We start from the raw sequence: 23,624 nt of genomic DNA on the forward strand, positions 1-23,624 counted from the left end.
TTTTGTAAGCCACATACGCTCAAACAAACTAATAATAACAGTAAGATCTAGTTTCAAGGTAGTGGACTGCAACATTGAAGTCTGTGGACTTCTTTGCAAAAAAAAAAAACGTTGCTTGGCATTAACAGTTTTTCTATCAAATACAAAATTCTGAGTGAGTTACATCACTAGAGAGTATACGAGTCTTCCACTCTGGTCGGCTTATTCTATGGAGTGAGACTGATACTACTGCTTATCTCATAGTTTTGTTATGATAGTTAATATTTATTAAAAAACTCAGACTAATGTTTGACACAGTAAATGCTAAAGACATGCTTACAGAATAAATAAATACATTCATAAATAAGTCAGTCTCTGTTCTAGTCATGCCATATTAATTACAATCCACATGCTAGAGTTTGTGATATTCTCTCTGCCTGCTTCCCCACCTGTCTTTCTATTTATTTAAATCCTATTATTCTTCAAGGACTGTGCAGATCCCACCTTTCTAAGCCCTTCAGGACAGACAACTCTGGACTCTACTAACCTCATGTTTCTCCTTCACTCATTTGCACTTATGCACAAATATCCTGTTTGCTTTATTTAGCCTTTACTGTTGGTTGTTAACCAGGCAAGGGCATTAGAATTCCCTGAGTTGCTTTTCTAAAATGTATATCCCTAGGCCAAACCCCTAGAATTGTTAGATTCAGTGAGTCCTGCCTGGCACCAAAACATGCACATTTTGAAAAGGTTCTTCAGCAACACCAATATACGCCACTAGTCAAGATACACTGATCAAAATTACCTTTTGTTGGAGGTATGCAGATTTTCTTTATCAACACAATCATGAACATCTTGAAGACACAGACCATGCTTTGTTTTTCTTATGTAAACATGGCCACTACTGAATAACACTCCTCTTTCATGTTTCATTGTAAGATCTCTGAGAGTGGCGCCCAGGTTATGCCTTGCCAATGGGTTGGGGAGCGTATTAGCCAGTTCTCATGCTGCTAATAAAAACATACCTGAGAATGGGCAATTTATAAAGAAAGAGAGGGTTAATGGACTCATGTGGCTGAGGAGGCCTCATAATCATGGCAGAAGGTGAAAGGCACATCTTACATGGTGGCAGGCAAGACAGAATGTGAGCCAAGCAAAAGGGGAAACCCCTTATATAAAACCACGAGATCTCGATGACTACCACAAGGACAGTATGGGGAAAACCACCCCCGTGATTCAATTATCTCCCAATGAGTCCCTCCCACAATACGTGGGAGTTATGGGAGCTACAGTTCAAGATGAGATTTGGGTGGGGACACAGCCACACCGTATCAGGGAGGGACAAAGAGAGCCACAGGTAGATCATTCAACTGTTGCCACAATTATGCTATGTCATGAATAACCACAAATCTTCAGTGATCTACCAAAAAAGGCCCTCTTGTTCATGTTTCCAGAATCCGCAGGAATAGGCTAGGCACCTGTGCTGGGTTTTCTCACACATTTGTGGGGTCAGAAGCACTGCCTTTTGAAAGCCCCCAGCCTTCGGTGCCTTCCAGCAGAGACTTAAAGGGAGAGGTACTGACTGGGACTCCTTTTGATTGGCAGATGTAAGGCACGTGGGTGCCACGATGGGGAGCTAAGCCACAGGCCATTTCTCAGGCCTGGCAGAGCCCCTCCCCAGACCCTTCGGCCCAGGCAGCTGAAGGGAGGACTGAGCAAAACCGATGGGAAGAGGGGAAAGCCCCTCAGCGTGCCTGAGACTACGACCCTTCCTGCCCACAGGGGCTCAGAGCCATGAGAACATCTCTGAAGGGCCGAAGGGGCCGGACTAGCCAGCAGACCTGGACAGGAAGGGGAGGGGTGGGGCGACTCCAGAAAGGGGCTTTCGGCCGGGCGCGGTGGCTCACACCTATAATTCCAGCACTTTGGGAGGCCGAGGTGGGTGGATCACCTGAGGTCAGGAGTTCGAGACCAGCCTGCCCAAATGGCGAAACCCCATGTCTAATGAAAATACAAAAAATTAGCCGGGTGTGGTGGCGGGCGCCTGTAACTTCAGCTACTCGGGAGGCTGAGGCAGGAGAATTGCCTGAATCTGGGAGGCAGAGGTTGCAGCGAGCCGAGATTGTGCCACTGCACTCTAGCCTGGGCGATACAGCAAGACTTCATCTCCAAAAAAAAAAAAAAGGAAAGGGGCTCTCAAGGGTGGAGGTCAGGTGAACCTGAATACTTAAAGAGCCTGTAGCCAGGTGAAGGCAGGTGCTGGCTACAAAGAAGCATGTTGCCAACGCTGGCAGCAGGACTGCTGGTACCCTCACAGGCGGCAGGTACAGCCATGGTGCAGGCTGTGTCGGTGCTGGGTGGCCAGCGGTGGGTGGGGGGCTGGGGATATGGCTCTTGCTACATGGGCTGGTGGCCTGTGGCTTTGGGCTTGGTCAGACCCAGATCTGTGCTAGCGCAAGTAAGCTTTGCCCCAGAGCCTGTCATCTCCTGGGATCTTGTTTCCTGTTGGAAAACAGGCTCCAGAGAGGCGCATGTAAACCAGCACACCCCAAAGATCACAAATTCCTCAACTCTCCATTCACCCCGAGTCTTAATCACTGACACATGTACTCCTCTGAACTTAACGAAGGCCAGGATTTATTGCTTTCAGAGAATGAAAAGCTCTATTTTTTTTTTTAAACTTAAAAGGTCATTCGTGTGAGCTTTGATTTTCATGAGAATTCCTTGTAACCTGCCTGCTAAAAGCCCCACCCTATCCTACTCAGAGGTTCTAGGTGGGCAGGTGAGGCCTGGGGCATGGCCGGTGGGCGTGGGCAAGGCCTTTGGCAGGCACTTGCCAGGAGAAGCTGGGCATGCAACATGCGCCGTCCGCTCCCAGCCGAGCTGACCCTTGCAGGCCTTGGACAGGGAACTCTCGGGGTTCCTCGGAACCGTGGACCAGCGCCCTCCTGAGGGAAGAGTGCAGCAGCCCGGCATGGCCCAGTTTTAACTTCCACGTCTCCTGGAGCTTGAGTGGGCACTGGGTTGACCGACTGTCACGGTTTGCTGGGGACTGAGGGGTTTCCCTGGGCTCTCAGTGCTGAAATCAGGTCAGTCTTAGGCAAACTGGAACTGCGGGTCACTCCGAGGGCATCTGTAAGAAGGGAGGCCTCCCCCGCCCTATCTGCCCACTGCTTCCCTGCACCCGGCCGCATGCCCCTCCGTCACTCCTCAGGCCTGCCAGGCTTGCCCTGCCTTGGGGCCTCTGCACCAGCTTCCCTCTGTCCAGGGCTCTCCTCTGCCCATTCCTGCATGGCTGAATGCTTGCCGCCTCCTCGGGATGCCTTCCCTGACCACCAGCCTCAATTTTCAAGTGCCTGCCTCATGCATTTGTTGTCACATTTTCCTCTTTTATCTTCTTCCAGACACTTATTTCTATGAAAATTGCCTAGCTTATTCTATGTGCTTTTCAGAGTTTATGGTTTCTCTCTTCTTGCTGGAACATCAGCTCCCTGAGGGCAGGGCTCCTGTACGCTGGCTCGTGGCTGCAGCCCCTGAGTGGGGCCATTAGTGGGGACCCCAAGGTGTTGGGTCCCCAGGCCGGAACAATGGTTGGCCTCGCTGGCACAGAGCCACCTGAATCGGGAAGAAGTGGGCACTGATGAGGCCCTTATGACCCCAGGCAGTGTGTAGCCAGGTTGTGCACAGGTAGACACAGCCCTGCGTCCCCTCACCTCATTCTCAGAGCAGGTCCCACGCGGCCCCCACGCCTGGCCCCTCAGCTGCCCAGCTCTGCAGGATGCTGAGGTCTGAGGAAGCCGCGCCAGCTGTGCAGTTTGCAGACCACAGCTTTGGAGGAGCCCGAGGGTGAAAGATTGGGGGGCTTGAGGAGCTGCTCCCAAATCCTGGCCTATGAGGCTACAAGGCCCGCCCAGTTCCCACGCATCCTTGCCTCGCACCCCAGGGGACTTGGGGTGATTCATGACTTCTTTTTGACCCCCAGGGCCAGGGCTGAGGCCCGGCTTCCGCCAAAGAGTTTCAGCTGTTGGGCCGGGTCTGATGTGCCTGGCCCTTGTCAGCAGAAGGTGCCTCCCGGTGTCTCACACCCTCCTTTCCCTCTAAAGCCACAGCTCTCCGCTGTGGGGGCCTTCTGTGGGCCTGGAGGTCGCATGGGCCCAGAGCTGGATCCTGCCTCCTGCGCACTCCAGAGGTGGGGTGTGGGCAGGCTGTGCGCTCAGCCATAGGTGGTTCTTTGTCCTTGCCCTGAGAGGGCAGCCACAGTGTGTCCAGCTGTGTTTTGGGCAGCAGGATTTTAAAAACAGCTTTATTAAGATATGATTCACATACCATACAGTTCATCCAGTGGTTTTTGGAAGATTACACTGTATTTGTAAATTTCTAAACTATTCTGTAAAAACTGTGGTAGAATACATAGCATGAAAGGTCCCATCTTAACCATTCTTGAGTGGACGGTTGAGCGGCATCAAGCACAGTCACGCTGTTGTGCGGCCACCAGCACCATCCCTCTCCAAAGCTTTCCTCATCTTGCAAAACTGAAATTCTCTGCCCATTAAACACTACCTCCTTATCCTCTCTCCCCATGGCTACTAGCAACCACATCCTATTTTCTGCCTCTGAATCTGATGACTCTGGGTATCTCATACAAGCGGAGCTCAGCAGCATTTGTCCTGTGACTGTCTTGTTTCCCTGAGCATGGTGTCCTCAAGGTCCATCCATGTTATAACCTGTGATGACGAGGTCACCTTCCCTTTTTTTTTTTTTTTTTTTTTTTTTTGGAGATGCAGTCTCGCTCTGTTGCCCAGGCTGGAGTGCAGTGGCACGATCTCGGCTCACTGCAAGCTCCGCCTCCCAGGTTCACGCCATTCTCCTGCCTCAGCCTCCCGAGTAGCTGGGACTACAGGCACCTGCCACCATGCCTGGCTAATTTTTTGTATTTTTAGTAGAGATGGGGTTTCACTGTGTTAGCCAGGATGGTCTCTATCTCCCGACCTTGTGATCCACCCGCCTCAGCCTCCCAAAGTGCTGGGATTACAGGCGTGAGCCACCGCGCCCGGCCCCGTAGCCTTCCTTTTTAAGGCTGAATCATACTCTGTTGCATGGATAGACTACGTTTACTCTGTCACCCAGGCCGGAGTACAGTGGCACGATCTTGGCTCACTGCAGCCTCTACCTCTTAGGTTCAAGTGATTCTTCTGCCTCAGCCTCCCAAGTAGCTGGGATTACAGGTGTGCACCACCACGCCTGACTATTTTTTAATTTTTAACTTTTTTTTTTTTTTGAGACGGAGTCTTGCTCTGTCACCCAGGCTGAAGTGCAGTGGTGTGATCTCAGCTCACTGCAACCTCCGCCTCCTGAGTTCAAGCGATTCTCCTGCCTCAGCCTCCCAAGTAGCTGGGACTATAGGCACCCGCCAGCACGCCCAGTTAATTTTTTCTATTTTTAGCAGAGACGGGATTTCACTGTGTTGGCCAGGCTGTTCTTGAACTCCTGACCTCGTGATCCGCCTGCCTCAGCCTCCCAAAGTGCTGGGATTACAAGCGTGAGCCACCGCACCTGGCCCACGCCTATTTTTTTTGTATTTTAGTAGAGACGGGGTTTCGCCATGTTGGTCAGGCTGGTCTTGAACTCCTGGCCTCAAGTGATCCACCTGCCTTGGTCTCCCAAAGTGTTGGTGGCATGAGCCGCTGCATGTGGCCTCAAAAGATCATTTTCATCTGTTCCCTTGTGAACAGGAGAGGCAGAATCCCTACCATCCCAAAGGCCATTTCCCAAAGGGGAAAGATCTGGATTTGCGCGCTGCTTCTGTGAGTGTGACCTGGAACGAGCTGGCTCCTGCCTGGGGGCTGCCAAACGAGCTGGCTCCTGCCTGGGGGTCCCTGACCCCTCTCCAGGTCATGTGAAGATGAGCCGAGGTAACCGCAGACATTAAACTTCTCACACCTCACTTTCCTCCGTCTCAAAATGGGCATTTGTACCCAATCCCAGGGCCTGTCACTCATGTGGTCATTCCAGGGACACCCACGGGAGGCCCTGCAGGCACTAGGGACCGGGAGTTGGGTCAGCCCTGTCCCTGGGGTTCCATGCGCAGCAACACTCCCAACACAGGCATGCACCACAACGCAGCATGGGAAGGCAGGCTGGGGACAGGCGGATAGCTCGGTGGGCTGTGCCCCCAGTGGGTCCACTCGAGGACATGCTGTCCCTGGCAGCTCAGGGGTGCTCATGCCCTTGCAGAGCCAGTCTCCATCTGCAGGGCCCTTCCTGGTGTCTGGAAACTTGGCTCTTTCGGAGGGAGGCTAAGCAGGACGGGGTGGAGGATGTGGGGTGGCATGTGGCGCTGTAGGAGTAGGGGGTCGCAAGTGGGCAGGGGCCTGGATCTGGGGCAGCAGAAGGGGCTCCTGAGCCTGGGGGTGAGGGCAGCCCAGCTGTGTGTGGTTATCAGACCCAAATGGTCCTCACCATGCCCTGTGGTCCTGGAGGGCAGGGCCCTCGCTGGCCTGTCTCTGGGGCTTGGCAAAGGGTGGATGCACAGGGAATGTCCGTGGTCCTGAGCTCTTGCCCTTTCCAGACCCATTTCATTGCCCACAAAGGGCCCTGTGGTAACTGATCTCCCTGCTCTGATCCCCAGTCCCCAAGGCCCCTACTCTGTGGGGACCCTGGGGACTGCATGGGGCTGTTTCTCATCCATTCAGATGCTATAGTGTGGTCAGAGAGTTCTTGGTCTCCCCAGACACAAGCAGTCCCTTTCATTTCCTCCCTAGGTCCTGTGCTGCTTTGAGTGGGGTTGGGCTAACCGCAGAGGGTCCTTCCTGGGGAGAGGCTAAGGGGGATCTGCTGGGAAGCTGGGAGCCCCTGCTGGGAGTGGCAGCCCCATCCTGCAGGTCCCAGGTCCTGCATCCAGTGCAAGCCTGGGCTTCTGCACTAGAGAGATGCCACCGTCACCTTGGCTGCTTCTAGAGCTCTTCGGAAGACCCTTCTCCCTGGAGCAGGGCGCTGGAACGCTGCAGGGAGCAGGGAGGTGGCTCCCACATGTGGACCTACCATGAGCCATGCGCTGTGCTGGGCTGTCCAGATGTCTGCTCTTCTAGTCCGTGCAGCCCTGCCAGGAGGTAGCATCAACCCTCCTTTGCAGATGAAGCAAAAGAGGCTCACAGAGAAGTGATATGTCCCAAGTCACACAGCTGGAACAGCTGGTATGTGGCAGAGCTGGGATGAAAACCCGGATGTGTTCAATTCCAAAGCACTTGCCTTTTCTTTTTTAAAGAAAAAGAAATGTGACGGCCTGGGGTCTCTCCATCTATTCAGATGCCATTGTCCAGTCAGAGGTCCCTGGGCGGCCCTGGACACAAGCAGCTCCTTTCCCTCTTGAGGTCCTGTGCTGTGAGGGGTGTGGGTGGGCTGAGGCCCTTTTGGGGGCACGAGGGCTGGGGTTACTCTGGAAGGTGCAGGGGGTGCTTGGCCCCACCCCCGTTTCAGATTCAGTGGGGCTGGAGAATTTGCATTTTCAACAAGTTCACACGCTATGCCGGGCTGGTCTGGTAAACACACTCTGAAAACCAAGTGGCTTCCTTTTCTCTGTCTTTAAATATTATTTTCTCTTTTACGAAATATTTCCAGCCTCATGTGCTTTTCACCGTGCTGTGTTGTCTTTTATGCGCTCAGGATGGCTGGAGTCAAGTTGTGAGTTTGCAAAAACCAGGGAGACCCATTCTGGGTTCATCAACCGCCGGCGAGGATTTCTACTACAATGACCACGACCGCTGCTGCGTGGGGTGTGCTTACGGAGCAGTGCCCAGTCCTGTTCTGAGCCCTGTCACGCAAGTCGCTCCGTTGCTTTTCACAGCCACCTCCCAGGCAGAAGCCACCACCTTCTCACTCTACCAAGGGAGGGCGAGTCACTGGCCCGAGGCCACACACACCACAAGGCTGGGGTTCCGCCCCAGGTGGTCCGTGCCACAAGCGCGCACCCAGCCTCAGGATTCAATGAGCTGGGACAGAAGTGCCTCACCAGTTCTAACGGAAATGGGTCGAATGGCCAGAACCAAGGTCCTCTCCCCACCCGCTAATCTCTCTGACTGAGTTCCCAGGCTCTGTGAGCAGCATCGCCACCTACCTGGGAGCTCGGCGGGGGTTGCAGGTGGCCCCATCACATCCACAGTTCCTGCCCACCCCTCCAGATCCGAGTGGCAGCAAAGCCGAGCTTCTACATCACTGTCTGCACGCTGGCCCTACAGGGCATTTTAGGCATATTAACCATGAACCTCACAAACACCTCGCGAAGCAGCCACTATCACTATTCCCAGCTTTGCAGCTGTGCACTGCAGCCCCAAGAGGCTGAGTGACCCGCTCAAAGTCACGCAGTCAGGAAGAGAAAGAACCAGACGCTGAACTTCTGTCCCCTCCAGGTCCAATACCAGCGTCTCCCCAGGCTCCAGGCTCCAGGGTCGCTGCCTCCCCACTGCCTGCCCCGTTTCCTCTCTTGCCTCCTTCCTCTCATTCCCTACCCTTTAGTCAGGGCCATCCTTCTAGGCCAGAGATCGGATCATGCCACTTCCCTTTAAAGGCATCCACAGGTTCCCCGCTGTCTTTGGGACAGCGCTCCCTGGCCAGCCTGGACTTCCCTCTCCAGCCCGTTCCGCCCAGCTCCACTTGCCCTCCATGAGTTACTCCTAGCCCACCTTTAGCCAGACACCTGGCCTGGACATGCTACACCCCCTGAGCTGTGCTACTCAAGTCTCCAACATCCTTTCTCCCTCTTTTTTTTTTTGGCCAGGAAAACTCCTACTCATCCTACAATACCCAGCTAGGACATGGACTTATGTCTTAGCCTTCCCAGCTGCTTACTCTTGGGCCAGGGAATCCACTTGCTACAGTGATTACTTAGCACACTGGGATGGAGCCGTCTGCCCATCAGTCCCATTGCCAGACCACGAGCTCCCCAAAGCTGGGACCGTGTTGGCTTGGTCTAGGTCCTCTGAGTGGCCCAGGCCCAGGCAGAATCCTGCTAAACAGGACCAAGGTGGACATTCACCAATGACCATGCAAAGAGGCTCCCAATTCCAGGGTGTCCACAGCGGCCTGTGCCTGGGTCTGATGTTTGCCGTGCACTGGGAATGGAGAGCATGTGGCCTTTTTCCCTTTTTAACTGTCGTGCCTGCGCTTGTGCCTGCCCAGTCTGTCCACTGCGGTGGGAAATGCCAGTTTATGAACCAAGGGTGAGCCGCCGGGGTCTTTCTAGCCAGGGCTGTTGGAAACCACTTGAGTGGATCTAGCCCTAGTAAACGGCTCTTAACCACTCCCCAGGGAGCACCCGAGACCCCAGATAATAAGCTCCATGTGTGTGGGAGACAGGCCCATTTTTTTTCCCAAGGATTTATGAGCGGGGGAGTATTCTCATTGACCTCCATTTCAGGAAAGATCTCTTTCTGGAACACTTGCCGAATACTCCATCAACAGTGAAGCACACGTGCTCGCGGCAAGCCTGCTTGACGGCCCCATAGCCAGCATATGTTTCTTGTCTCCTACGCACTTTAGCACTGGCTCTGGGGAATGCGTGTATTTCTGAACGTCCCTAAACACAGCTCTGACTGAAGCACTTATAATTTACCCTCCATGAAAGCCATCGCTGCTCTTTCCAAACATACTTGGAAGTGGATTCAAAGTTTATTTAGAGAGAACATTTAAAAAAAAAAAAAGACCGAACGAGAGTGCTTGTGGATTCTTACTCCCAGCCCCAGCTTGCTGGGACCTTGGAATAATTCCTTCGGCTCACAGACATGACACCCTGAGAAGAAACCGTGAACATGTGGGCCCTGGCCATCTGTCCACGCAGGCATCTCTCCAGTTCGTCCTCTCTTTATTTATTCACCTGTTATTCTATCTGCTTCTCCCTCCCTCAGACCTCCTTTTTCTTTTCCCTCCACTCACGTTCCCCCACCTCATCATTCATCCATTTCTCCAGCCCTAGAAAAATGACTCAATTCTTTTTGTTTATTTATTGTTTTTGAGACGGAGTCTCGCTCTGTCACCCAGGCTGGAGTGCAGTGGCGCGATTTCGGCTCACTGCAACCTCTGCCTCCTGGGTTCAAGCAATTCTCCTGCCTCAGCCTCCTGGGTAGCTGGGACTACAGGCGCCTGCCACCACGCCTGGCTAATTTTCGTATTTTTAGTAGAGACGGGGTTTCACCATGCTGGTCAGGCTGGTCTCGAACTCCTGACTTCGTGATCCGCCCACCTTGGCCTCCCAAAGTGCCGGGATTACAGGCGTGAGCCACTGCACCGGGCCAAAAATGACTCAATTCTTATTCGGGGGTGAATGAATGACTTTATTCATCCAGACAATCAAATATCCATTTGCATATTGGTTCATCCATTCATCCATCCATTAAATTAGCAATCTTTGTTCATTCGTCTTTCTGACCAGCCATCCATCAAAGATGTACTAATGACCCACTCTGTGCAAGGTACTGGGATACTTCGGTGAGTGCATCCCAGTTCCTGCCCTTGAGTAGCTCACAATAATCTGGGAGATAAGATGCAAACAGCCAATTACAGCACAGTGTGGGAAACGCTATTAGAGACACGTGCAGGTGCCCTGGGTGTCGGGAAACGGGCGCTGATGCCTGGGAACAATTCTGGGTACAGAAGGGGCTACGGAAAACACCTATGGAAAACCTGCCCACCTCTCCCTGTCTCCCAGAACCAGTGAGGCAGCCACCTGGGGTAGATCAGACTTCATGGCCACTCCAGGGCCTTGGAGACCTTATCTGCCAGGAATGGTCTTCTGGAATGGGCTGGTTCAGACTCGCCACTCCCTTAGTGATTCCTACAGCAGTCCTGGGGGGCCGGTGTTGCCAGGTCCACTCTGCGGTGGAGGAGACCGGGGCTCAGGCGACTGGAGGGGTGAGGCGCAGCAGAGCCCACGTGCTGGAGTCTGAACACTGGCAGACAGTGCACGTGGCCCTCTGCACCCTCTGTCCAGGGGTGCAGACAGTGCATGTGGCCCTCAGGACAGCACCAACCACTGGGCTACCTGCTCCCCTCTGAAGGCCTCCTGGGTGTTCAGGACCTAGGTCCGACTATTTGGGGTCAGGACTCTCCCTGCGCCCCACACAGCTCAGAGCTACCCGAACAGTCCTGGCAGACAAGCTGCTCTCCCTGTGTGGGAAACTGAGTGCTCAAAGGACCCCGGCAAGCCCTGCTGTGTCTCAGCACCTCGCTTTCCCAGCTAGGGCTGAAGGACTGACAACGAGGACCTTGCCTGCAGAGCAGAGACTGTGCGTGCCCAATTCCAGGCTCTGGCCAGGCCTGGGCTCTGGATCCTGTGGAGAGCGGCACGGTCCAACCAAGAACCCTGGGAGCTGGCAGACCCAGCCTCCCTGCCTGGGTGCGGAGGGCAGGGCGGCCCCTCTGCCCTTTGGCCAAGGGTTCCTCCTCTGCCACGGCGAATGTCTGGGGCCATCCTTCCTGCCATCCACTCCCACACGTCCCCACTGAATTTCCTGTTCCTCATCCCCCCTGTCCCTGTCCACACGCCCCACTGCGTTTTCACCTCTGGGCCTCCCTTCCCCCAGGCTCTGCTCTTTCCATCCAGCCTCTCCCTGATCCTCATCCAAGGGGCCTTTCTAACACTAGCCAGGCCAGTCTCCACTAGAGGAACAAAACCAAAGTCCACGGCCACCTTCTTAGCGCAGAGCAGCCTGGTAAAGAGAGACCCAGGTACAAATCCTGACTCTTTCATAGGCTATTCCCACGAACTTGGGTAACTCAACGGCTCTGGGCCTTAGTTTTCCCACCTGTGAAATGGGTCTATTCATGGCTTTCTTAGGGAGCAGCTGTTAGCATTATGGCTGAGTATAAAGTAAGGCTTTCCCTCAAAACTATGCTTCAGAAAGGAAGGAGTCATTTTGTGTTCAAGCCTCTACTGAAGTCTTTCGTTTAAGGGGGTGCATGCTCAACTAATTACTCGAAAAAAAAGATGACAATGTACTGTTTGGTGCCGACACACAACCTAAACCAACCCCCGTCAACGTTAGTTCTAGACGGTTATAGAGGTAACGCAAGGGGTCTATTAGAAAAATAAGAGGAGCCTGGTAGTTAAGGGTGGAGACTGAATGTACAAATTCATTTTCACTACTTCCAGAAGGGCAGAGAGGTCAGGAAAGGAAACACCAGCAACAATAAGAATGCTGAGAAGCAGACAATGAGGGCTACCTGCCGATACAGAAATGGGCACGAACACAGCCAACCCCGGGAGGCTCTAGCTTTGGGGGTGCTGGATCAGACCTCAGGCTCCCCAGCCAACGAGCACTGTCAGCTCTGGCAGCTCAAAGCCCCTTTGTCAGGCAGAAAGCCCCCCTCCAGGTGGCCAATTTCAGGTTTCAAGTGTCAGCTGGATTTTCTGCTCACTGTCCCCCATAGCCTGCTAGAAAGTTCACTGCCAAATTGATTTCCAAATTTCGTGAAACAAATTTATTCCCAGGTGAAAACTACTGTATCTGATTTCTTCTGCAGATGACCCAGCCAACATGGAAATCCGCTTTGTCTGACTTTCGAATTCACCCGAGTCGGCTTCCATTGCTCAGACAACTGGACGGGGCCCCAGTTCCCACTGCATCCCAGCCAGATGAAGAGAGTGGGGCCTCAAGTCTGTCAGCCAGCCCTAGACTCTCCACAAGCCAGGCCCCAGGCTCCCCCTGCCAGCCAGGAGGCAGATAGTCCACAGACCCCAAAAAGCACCCATGCCTACCCACCCCCACCAGGAATGGCCACTGTTTTCTCAGCCAGAAGTAGGGCCAAGGGAAGTCCAAAAACGCCCCGCACCCACCAGGCTCTTAGGGACCCCGAGTCACACCTGTCCCCTCAAGATTCTCTCTGGGCCATCGCAGTCCACCCACACTTGGATGCAGGATGAAAGGCTCACACATGGCTGGGCCCAGTGGCTCACGCCTGTAATCCCAGGACCGGGAGGCCGAGGCAGGCGGATCATGAGGTCAGGAGTGCGAGACCAGCCTGGCTAACATAGAGAAACCCCATCTCTACTAAAAATACAAAAATTAGCCAGGCGTGCTGGTAGGAGTCTGTAGTCCCAGCTACTCAGGAGGCTGAGGCAGGAGAACTACTTGAACCCGGGAGGCGGAGGTTGCAGTGAGCCGAGATTGCGCCACTGCACTCCAGCGTGGATGACACAGTGAGATTCTGTCTCAAAAAAAAAAAAAAAAGAAGAAAGAAAGGCTCACATGGAAGCTACCAGTGGCCTGCTCCCTGGTGTCCTCATCCCCTGTGACTATGGCGCCATCAGTTGAAAGATCCAGGCGGCGGAGGCCTGGGTAGCGTCCTCTGGCTGGAAGGTCCCAGGAGGGAGAGTATTCAGGGGGGAGAGATGCTCCCTGCAGGCTTTTCCCCTGAAAAGCCTGGGCCCCTGGGACCCTGGGACTGCTGCCCTCCCTGCAGAAGAAGGGCCTAGGGTCTCCTGCCCATTTATGAAGGCTCAACTCACACACGCACTGTATTCTGTCGGCTTTGACCTCTTTCAGTTTATTTGGTGCTCAGTCCTCACAGCAACCCTGTGTGGTGTTACTCCCTCCTGACTGGGTCAAGCCGTCTGAAGCCTCCCTCTGCACACGGGTGCAGATCGAGCTATGGCTGAGCGCTGTGGCCCATGCCTGTAATCCCAGTAGTTCACAGGCCGAGGCGGGAGGATGACTTGAGGCCAGGAGCTCAAGACCAACTTGGGCAACATGGTGAGACCTCGTCTCTACAAAAAAATACTATATATGTACATATATGGTGTGCACCTGTAGTCTCAGCTACTTTGGAGGCTGAGGCAGAAGGATAGCTGGAGCTGAGGAGTTTGAGGTTGCAGTGAGCCGAGATTGCACCACTGCCCTCCAGCCTGGGTGACAGAGTGAGACCCTCTCTCAAGAAAAAAAAAAAAAAAGATCCAGCCACCTCACCTTGGCCTGTGTGGCCCTGTCTGATCTGTCCCTTGACACGTCTCTGTTCTCATTTCAGGTCCCTCTACCCAGTGAACCACTAGGACCTCCTCTCTGCTCTTTCACCCCAGCTGCACAATCCTCTTTCAGGGCAGGTGGGCTCTGTGCCTGGGAAGCCCTGCCCACTCCCCAGCCTGGCTACTTCTTGTCACTCAGGTCTCAGCTCAGTGTCACTTCATCAAAGAGGCACCCACTGGCAGTCCTACTGAACAAGCTCCGCCTTCACTCTGTCACATCCTGTCCTGGCTCATTGCATGTTTCCATTCTGCTAGAATGCAGACTTCTCAGCCGGATAAACCTCGTCTCTCTTATTTCCCAGTGCCTGGCATACAGTAGGAGCTTCATAAGTATTGGCTGAATAAGTGAAATGAGAACACGAATGCCCAGTACAAAAGGAGTGACTGGCCCCAAGTTGCAAGCTGGCAGAGGCACTGCCTCCGCTGTCATGCTATGTTCCCTTCTGGGGTACTGGCTTGGGCGGCTTGTGGGTGGCTCTGTGTCAAAGGAACCTCCTGGAAGGCAGAAATGACCCTTCTGGGTATATCTGGCAGAGGCAGTTGCAGCGCCTACAAATCAGAGGAAAGTGAGGTCATGGAAGGTGGAGGCTTTGAGGCCAAACACACCTGGGTGGGTCCCAGCTCTCCAGTCACCTGCTGCATGGCCCTGGGCAAGCCACCTACACTCCCTGAGGCTCAGTTTCCCCATCTGTAAACTGGGCATAACATGGCACTTGTCTTCTGGATTGTTGTGAGGCTCATATGATGCCCTGCATAGCAGGCACCCGGCCAGGTGCCTCAGAGCCCTGTAAATGGTCCCCAAGGAATCCGCGGCCCTCGGGGCAGGGTGCGGAGCAGGGAGGGCGAGGCTCTGAGGACAGAGGCAGCCACCGACAGGAGGGTGGGGCAGGAGTAAACACCATAGGGCGCCTGAGTTTAGACACATGCGCCTGGCTTCTGGGTTACAGGCAGGGCTGGGCCATGTGCAGAGTTTTTCATCTTTTAATCCCAGCTGTTATCAGCTGCTGGGAAATAGCTGAGCCCAGTCTCCTAGCTGGCACAGGCTTCCTCTGAATTCCACAAAGAGAACAAAGAGTTCCGAAATAGTGACACAGCTGTCCTGACCGGCAGCCCGGGCAGTCAGCCGGCAGGGCCAGGCCAGGAGGAAGGCACGCAAAAGCCAAGCAAAGCCACTTGGCTAGAGGGTGGGCACAGCTGCGGGAGGCTGCTGGAGGCCTGGCTGACTAGCCAGCCAGGGACCATCCCAGGCTCTGAGGCTGCTGGGAGACTGGGGGTGACCTTCTCTCTGAGCTGGGCCTGGCACTGTGTGCTCAGGAGCCTTCTGGCGGTGTGAAGGTCCTGCTCCGGGACTACCCCAGGGTGCAAAGTGAGTGGCGTGGCTAGATCCCTGCTGGTGACACCCCCAGACACCAAAGCTACCTCCCTTTCCAGAGCTTGGAGTGGTCGTCTGCAGCTTTTGGTCACCCTCTCCACACCTGGATGCTTTCCACAGCGCAAGCCCCACCTTCCAGCACTCACTGCACATTTCCCTGCTGCCTTGGCTGCTAGGATGCAGGTGTGATTTACGGTCCACCCATCAGAGGTGTCTCAGTGAGATTCGGACTCGGCAGAATTGGGTGGGGACAGAGCATGATCCTGAGCCAGCAGCTGGGAGGCAGCTTCCAGATCTGGCAGGAGAGCTTGGGAACCATTCCTGGAGGCACTGTTCTTTGAGGTCTCTGGACCCCTGAATAACCTCCCACTACCCTTTTTTCTTTTGGCTTAAACTGGCTGCAGTGGATTCTGCCGTCTGCAACTATAAATCCTGAGAAACTCCTTCATGACTCCCTGGCAGGGCTTCAAACTCCGCTGCCTACAGGGATACACAGGTTACACAGACACAAGAAACAGACTCGTTCAGCTAAAATCACAAGGCAGCCCACTTGGTCTATGTTTGATTTTAACAGAGATGTGGTTCCAAGTCACCTTTATTAGAAAAAAAGCATGCAAGCCCCATGGTAAATGGTGATCGACGCTCGACTTCCAGGCCAGAGGGACACCAGGAGTAGGGGACTGTGATGCCCTGGAGACGGGATATCCTATCTAGAGGGAGTGGCTCCTAGATAGTTCACACTGACCGTTTCCAGATCTTTCCATTTTTCAAGAGAAGCCAGACATCGGGATTTTGATGTGAAATATCTCTTATTTTTCATTTTTGACTCATGGTTTGTTTTTTTTTGTTTGTTTGTTTTTGAGACGGAGTCTCACTCTGTTGCCCAGGCTGGAGTGCAGTGGCCCGATCTTGGCTCACTGTAACCTCCACCCTCCGAGTTCAAGCGATTCTCTTGCCTCAGCCTCCAGAGTAGCTGGGACTACAGGCGCCTGCCACCGTGCCCAGCTAATTTTTGTATTTTTAATAGAGACGGGGTTTCACCATCTTGGCCAGGCTGGGCTTGAACTCCTGACCTCGTGATCCACCCACCTCGGCCTCCCAGAGTGCTGGCATTACAGGCGTGAGCCACCGCGCCCGGCCGACTCATGTTTTAAAAAACACCATGCAGGCCAAAAAAGCCCTGGAAGGTCAGCACCTTCCAAGTCTGGGTTTGGCCTGTGGCTGCCTTTGTGGCCATGGCCTGCAGGGTTAAGTTCCAGCTCTTGATGATGGCACTTAGGGCCCCTGGCATGAATCCAGCGTCCTCCCTCACCATCCCTGCATGCAGGGACCCACAGTTCTTATCTCTGTCCCTTATCCAGGCTGCCTCCCCACCCAGCCACGCCCTTTCATGTCCTCACTCCTCTGCCTGGCAACATGCCTGTGCGGCCTGGTCCCAGTGATCAAGCCCTTTGTGAAAGGCATCCCCTGCCTCCTGGACCCGAGGCTTCAGTCTTGAGGCGCCCACAGTCCCCTGCACACCCTTCCATCCTGGCGCTCCTCATCCTGGGTGGTGATCATCAGGGCCTCTGCCCCCAGGCCGGGCCTGGGAGGACGTCCATCTGCAGAACAAGCCTGGCCTGTGACTGGCCCCCTGAGGAAGTGGGCTGCTCCTGGGGTCTCAAGAGCATCCATCCTGGTAGAACAGGGTGTTGGGGTGAGTTTAGAGAACGCAGCACGGGGAAGGCTGATCCACCCTGCTTCTTCCTGTCTCAGTGATATGAGGTCCCCAGACCTGGACAGGGCCCGTGAGGTAGCCAAGGGGCAGCTGGACTCACTGTCCAGTGCGTGAGCCCCTGGTCAGTCCCCCTTCCAGATCTTGGAAATGCCTGTGCACCTTCGGAGAGAGGTTTTCCCTTTCTCCACAGGGGAGTAGCTGGGGAGGTTGCAGCCAAGTTCCCTGTCCTCCACCCCATGCCCTGGGGATGTCCGGGTCCTCAAGGCTGTGGGCTAAGGGTACCCTGGGTCTTCTCTGCCCTCCACTGCAGACTTGCCTCCCTCCTGCTCTCTGGAGTGCGGCTGTGATGCGTTTCAGTTCCCCAGACTCTAAGCAGCCTCACCTCACGTTTATTAAACTCCCACTGTGTGCCCGGCGCAGTGCTGGGTGTGTCCACATCAGCAAGACGACCCACAACAATTCTCTGAGATCAGTCTCATGACGTGCCCAAAGCACATGCCTGGATCGAGCCCATGCCCCTGAAGCCAATCCTGCCCTTTTGCCGAAAGAAATGATTTCCGTTTGTGGGCAGGAAGGGGGCCACCGGGCGGCACCGGCCGGCACAGGCCACCCTCTTCGTGCCTCTGGTTCCTCAAATGAAATAAGCTCATGGGAACAAGTCCACATTAGCATTTCAAAGAGGACCATAACTCGGTGATTACTGCTTGCACATGTGAGGGCTTCCCGCTGGGAGTGTTACCTAGCGGCACCCATGGTTTGATTTCCCCAAGTTGTGTGTTCCCTTACACATGGGAAATCTCAAGGGAGAGACACTTCCCAAGAAAATTACCTACATGGGTCTTGTCACCTACCTGCCATCTGCACTTAAAGACAGCGACACGAACCCCACTAGATGACACGAACCAAGGGACTGGTGTAGTCTGGGTATTTTCACATATGTTGTCTCACACGTTTCCGCCAAGTCTTAGGAGGTGGGAATATTATTAGTAATTTTACAGGTAAGATGACAGGGCCCAAAGAGGTGGCTTTCTTAGTGTCACACACTTAGTGGGTAATGAGGTGACATCCTCAGATCCAGGCAGCTGACCACATAGCCTGTGCCTCCCCCACACCCCAGACTTGGATGGGGCTGATGAGCACGTTCCGACATTCTGTTCAAGGCACGAAGGGTTTCCTCCATAGGTGGAGACCACAGGCGTCCCTAAGAGCAGCCCTGAGGCTGGGGAGCCTGGTAAGTGGGAAGTCTCAGAGCGGCTCAGGGCCACAGACCAAACACAGTAACGGGAAGTTGAGGAGGGCCTGCCCTGGTGCGCCAACCAAGGAGGCGTGTTCAGCAGCAATGTTTCCTAATTAAAAATGAAAGGTGGGATTTCACAGGAATGCTACATTTTAAACCCTCTAGCCACTCAGATCTTTGAAGAGAAATGATGTGTTCATAATAATTTTGGAGTGGATAACATAATTTACAAATCACAAGTGTGTTCTGTGATTTAAAGTGATGGAAGGGCTTTCTGTTACCTCATGGTAACCAGGAATTTCAAGAGGCATAATTGAATTTTAATCCAGTCCCATAGGAAGAGCGGTCCCCCTGCGCCGGGAGAAGGAATAAGGAAGACAAAAAGATGTCAGCTGCTTAGATCACATGACTTCCTGCTTATTTCATGAGCTGAATATGCAGCGCCTGGGCATGTACCAGATATTCCTTCTTGAAACTGAGCCAGGGCAGGTGGCCTGGTCCATGTGTATCTGGAGACCCTTGTGCTAGAATATGCCAGTCCTTCCAGCCATATAGAGACTGCAGTTTCAGTATCTCCCTATGAAGAGGAGAGACCAAAAAGGAGTTTCTGCCTTGCCTGCTTTCAGCATAGATGGACAATTCAAGGAGGAAGATCCGCAGCAAGCTCCCAGGTCTAGGAACTAGACCTAGGACACTGTGATCACTGGCAAAGTGATCACTGTGGCGAACTTCTTGCACAGTTCTTGCAAAGTTGCAAAGTTCACTGGCAAAGTTCTTGCAAAATGCCAGTTTGCTCACTATATTTGAGCTACAATTGATCTACCATGTCTTTGCCAAGAATTCCAAAGGATTTGGGATAAGCAAATAGCCTTGCTGTATCACCAGCTTTTAGGTGGCTATGTTTGGTGTCTGTTTCTGAGGTTCGTTTTGCCTTATCCAAGTGGCAGGCTAATGGGGACGAAGAAGCCCTCTTTAGCATGAGTGGAATAAGCCAGGTGCCCAAGGGAAGCCTAGAGTTTTGGGGCTCTGAGGAGGGTGAGGTGAAGTAAGAACCCGGCACAGGCTGGCACACACATTAGGTGTTCAATAACATCTAAAAGCATTCAGATGTTTCTCAAAAAGCTAAACACAGAGTTACCATATGACCCAGCAATTCCACTGCTAGGTATATATCCCAAATAACTGAAAACAAGTGTTCAAACAAGTACTTGTACACGAATGTTCCTAGCAGCATTATTCACAACAGCCGAAAGGCAGAAACAACCCAGATGGCCATCACCTGATGAATGGGTAAACAAAACATGGTCTATCCATACAATGGAATATTATTCAGCCATAAAAAGGAATGAAGTACAGATACATGCTATGACATGGATAAACCCTGAAAGCATTGTGCTAAGTGAATGAAGCCAGGCACAGAAGGCCTCAGATTGTGTGATTCCATTTATATGAAAAGTACAGAATACGTCAACCAGAGATAGCACAGACTGGTGGTTGCCACGCAGAGGCCGGGGAGAGCCACTGCTTACAGGGGAGGAGTATCCTTTTGGGTGCTGAAATGCTTTGGAACGAGATACAAGTGACGGTGGTGTGACACTGGGAATGTACTCAACCCCACTGAAATGTTCCATTAAACTGGTTAATTTTATGTGATGTGAATTTCACTTCAATAATTTTAAAAAAGAATCCAGCTAATAGTTCGTCTTCCTTTTGGCAGAGCAATCTGTTTCATCTTGGACTTAACGGTGCTTTTAAAAACAAAAATTAAAAGGAGGGAAAACTGGCTCTCCTAAGAGGGTAGAAGGAAAAAAACAAAAAAAGGCAAAGCTGAAACAAGTGCAACTTTCCTGCAGCTGCTTTTCCAAGGCCTCTGCTATACCGAGGCGTGGGTTTGCACTTGCAAAGAGTAAATACACTCCTCCCCGGAGCCAGCGAGCTGCTCAGAGCGGCGGAAACAGGGATCACGCAGATCTCTCCAGTCTGTCCCTGCCCCCTATTGGAATTCGATTTCCCATGGGAGGGGGGCCTGCGGAGGACATCAGGGAATGTGCAGCATGGAAGTTGCACGTGTGGGCCACGACACATTGCGCCAGGCCGGCCTCGCTCATCTGAGAGGGGTCTGAGTGTGGAGCCATCCTCCCCACAGCCTGCGTGCACTTGCTGGAGCGCAGAGACCCGCGTGTGAGGGCGAGGAGAGCATGCGTGTTCCTGTCCCGGTGATCCCCGGCCAGACCCCGGGAAGGAGCAGAGGTTCCCGTGGGAGTTGGAGCGTTTGTAAACCAACAGATTTCACCCACCTTTCCACTCTGGAGGCGGGCTCTAATGGCACAGTCCAGACGTCACCTCTCCTTAGTTTGAAAATTGGTTCCATAAATTGGAGTGAGTTCAAACACATGAGACCCTTCCAGAAACTGGGCTGACTGCCAGGCTCTCCACACATCCAGAGTGGGTGGAAAGACAGAGAGACGGAGTGGGGTGCAGGGTTATGGAGAGCATCCTTCCAGGGCCAGACTCCCTGCTCTGGGGGTAGGTGGGCTCTGCCGGGCTGGGGGAGGCGCTGTAGAGGGGGCAGGAGGTTGGGGACACTCAGGAGCCACTGCTCTCCCCGCCATCCAGGACTGCAGGCTTCCTCTGTCCCCAGAGACTGAGGCTGCTCCACAGACACCCCCCATCTTCCTGGCACGAAAGCATCACTCACTGTCCACCATTAGCGTCTGGTGATGGAAACAAACAGGCTCATGGGGTCATGGAGGAGTCAAAAAAATGATAATTTTAATCATTATTATATTTTATGATATTATACAATCTATTTGTTTATATATTTTTTCATTATTATTGTTAAAATTATAATCCCTGACATTTATGGAGCAGTGACCTCATGCCAGGCACTGTGTTTTGCGTGTATCATTTCACCCAGGCTCCTGACAACTCCGTGAAGTGGCAGCCACTGTTATCTCCATGTTAGAGCAAGCTGAGAAACGGAGGGGCTGTACTTGGGGCCACACATCTTGGGAGTCTTGGGAGTATGGGCAGGGGAACTGACCCATGCGGTCTGACTCCAGGGTCCATGCTGTTAGCCATGACTTTTTGGTATCAGGTGCTTCTGAAAGTCCCTTGAGCCTTGCCAGGGACCCAGGCAGACAGCACAGCTGGCACAGTCAGACAGACCCACCTCAGAACCAGGCTGGCCAGAGAGGGACGGTGTCAGTCTCAGGGCCTGATCTCCAGGAAGTCCAGAGGGCACAGTCCAGAGGGCACAGTGAGATAGCAAAGGCTGGTCAAGCCCTCAGAATGAAGCCCCAGGGACAGCAGGTGCTAATCCCACAACCCACAGGACTCTCAGCAAGGACTGCCTTCCCGCAAAGAGCATGGTACTGTGGCTCAGGTGCAAGCTGGGGCGCCGCTGCCGTCATCCTGGAAGCCCTTTAATGACAGCAGCGCAGCAGGTTGCTCCCCCAAGAATGGGGGTAGCTCCTGGGTCACCCAGCACCGGGTATGGGGTAGCTCCTGGGTCACTGGCCAGCACCGGGAATGGGGTAGCTCCTGGGTCACCCAGCACCGGGTAAGGTGTTGCTCCTGGGTCACTGGCCAGCATCGGGTAGAGAAGTCGGCTTGTGTTTGGTGGGAACCATGTACTTAAACTCCAGATGATTTGGTTAATGGGGGGGTCCTGGGGAACAGAGACCAGCTGAGGATATGCAGATCCAGGGCATCAGAAGAGAGGGCGACCAAGTGCCCACACAAGGGGGATCCTCTGCCTCTTTTTCCTTCTGGCTTAACAGGAATCTGTCTAAATTACATGTAAACCCGATGAGACTATCACAGCTGAATGAAGGCCAGAGACAGGCTGAGGCTTGTCTCTATCAACAACACATCTTAGGGCTTGGAAACAGAAGCTCAGGGCTGCATGAGCCTGTGGGTCATGAATTCACTGCTCCTGCTTTAGGCAGGAATTCCCTTCCAGCCTCCAGAGGAGTGCTCATGTGTCCTCCCCTTGAACACTTCCCCTGACTGGGAGCTCACTACCTCAAAGAGAGGTTCATGCTGTCTTTGGATAGCTCTGCCTATTAGAGAGCTCTTCCTCCACTGAACTAAAACCCATTGCCTCAGGTCCACTCAGCACTCGTCTGGGTCCTTGGGGCCATACAGAACAAACCCAACCTCTCCTCACAAAACCTCCTAAGAGATGGACAGGCAAAGCCACGACCACAGTTTCCAGAATTATCTCTACAGGGTGTGTGTTCCTCAAGCCTCCGCCATCCTGAAAACCTTCTCTGGCCCTGCCCCATCCAATACATTCTGTCCCTCTGCACTAAGACTCCCGAAATGAGATCCTTAAGCCTCAGAGCAGAGCAGGGCAGGAAAAACACCTCCCTTGTTCAAGGCATTGTGCTCCTGTTACTACAGCCTCAGATCCTGCACTGACCAGCAGGCAGCTGAAGCCATGAGGGGATGGCGTGGGACTGAGCCTATCCTTGGCTGTGTGGTGGAGAGGCATTCTCACTGACCTCACAGCCAGCTAGCATGTGTGGGGGAAAATAAGAGAAAAATGATGTAAGCACTGAGGATATGTTCCTTTATGCACTGGAGTAAACATGAGTGGGGGGACGTGAATCTGCCAGCGCCTCAGTGGGCCTCACTTCCCACTGCCTTGTATGGGGTGGGAGCCTCCAGCTGAACTCTGGAGTTTGGTGATGAAGACTTTCTTGAACTCAAGGGCTTCTGAATGCCAGCTCTAGCTGCTTTTCCCCAGCACTGGAGCTCTGTGGGGCTGGCAGAGAGAGGAAGCATTCCTGGCTTTCATGGGTAACCTGAGAGATTTTCAGGAGTGATTTGGAACATGTACAATTTTTGCCTTATGCAAGAATAAAAATCCCACCTAAAATGTGATTCTGCAACAATGACTTATGATTAGGTGGTGGGATGGGTGGGTGGCGGGTGGCTGTTGGGGGATGAAGAGATGAGTAGAGGGATGAGGGGTCGATGAATGGATGGACGGGTTAGGGAGATGAATTCTGGTGTTGCCTGTCTCTAGCTGTTTGACCTTGGGCATCTCACATGTTTAGCCATGAGATGGGCATCATACTCCCTCCTCACAGCGTTCTCATGAGGAATGCACCTATGAAAGTTCCTAGGCAGGGAGCCTGCTGCAGGGATGGGCCTGGCTGAGAACAAGGACACCTTTCTGACCAGCAATAAGCCTCACCAAAAAATGTGCTCATGTAAGAAAAACAATTATCCAAGAAGCATGTGTCAGAACAGCTTTGCTGGTGGCTCCAGCGCAGGAGGGGTAGAAGGGGAAATAAAA

The 23,624-nt window shown here is 53.2% G+C and overlaps 1 protein-coding gene across 11 annotated transcripts in view, besides 1 other annotated feature; it reads right to left on the reverse strand.

Moving 5' to 3' along the window:
• Positions 1–23,624, reverse strand: part of COL23A1 (collagen type XXIII alpha 1 chain) — a 352,776-nt gene that overhangs the window by 79,136 nt on the left and 250,016 nt on the right. The window lies entirely within an intron of this gene.
• Positions 14,511–15,117: an enhancer, noted in NCBI's record as "H3K4me1 hESC enhancer chr5:177758265-177758871 (GRCh37/hg19 assembly coordinates)". NCBI's record gives its function as "activates a minimal SCP1, AML or CMV promoter by ChIP-STARR-seq in naive H9 embryonic stem cells {active_cell/tissue: H9 hESC(naive)}" and the evidence as "EXISTENCE:reporter gene assay evidence [ECO:0000049][PMID:30033119]".

The sequence above is a fragment of the Homo sapiens genome, chromosome 5, assembly GCF_000001405.40.
Source record: "Homo sapiens chromosome 5, GRCh38.p14 Primary Assembly".
In the NCBI taxonomy this organism is placed as follows: Eukaryota; Metazoa; Chordata; class Mammalia; order Primates; family Hominidae; genus Homo; species Homo sapiens.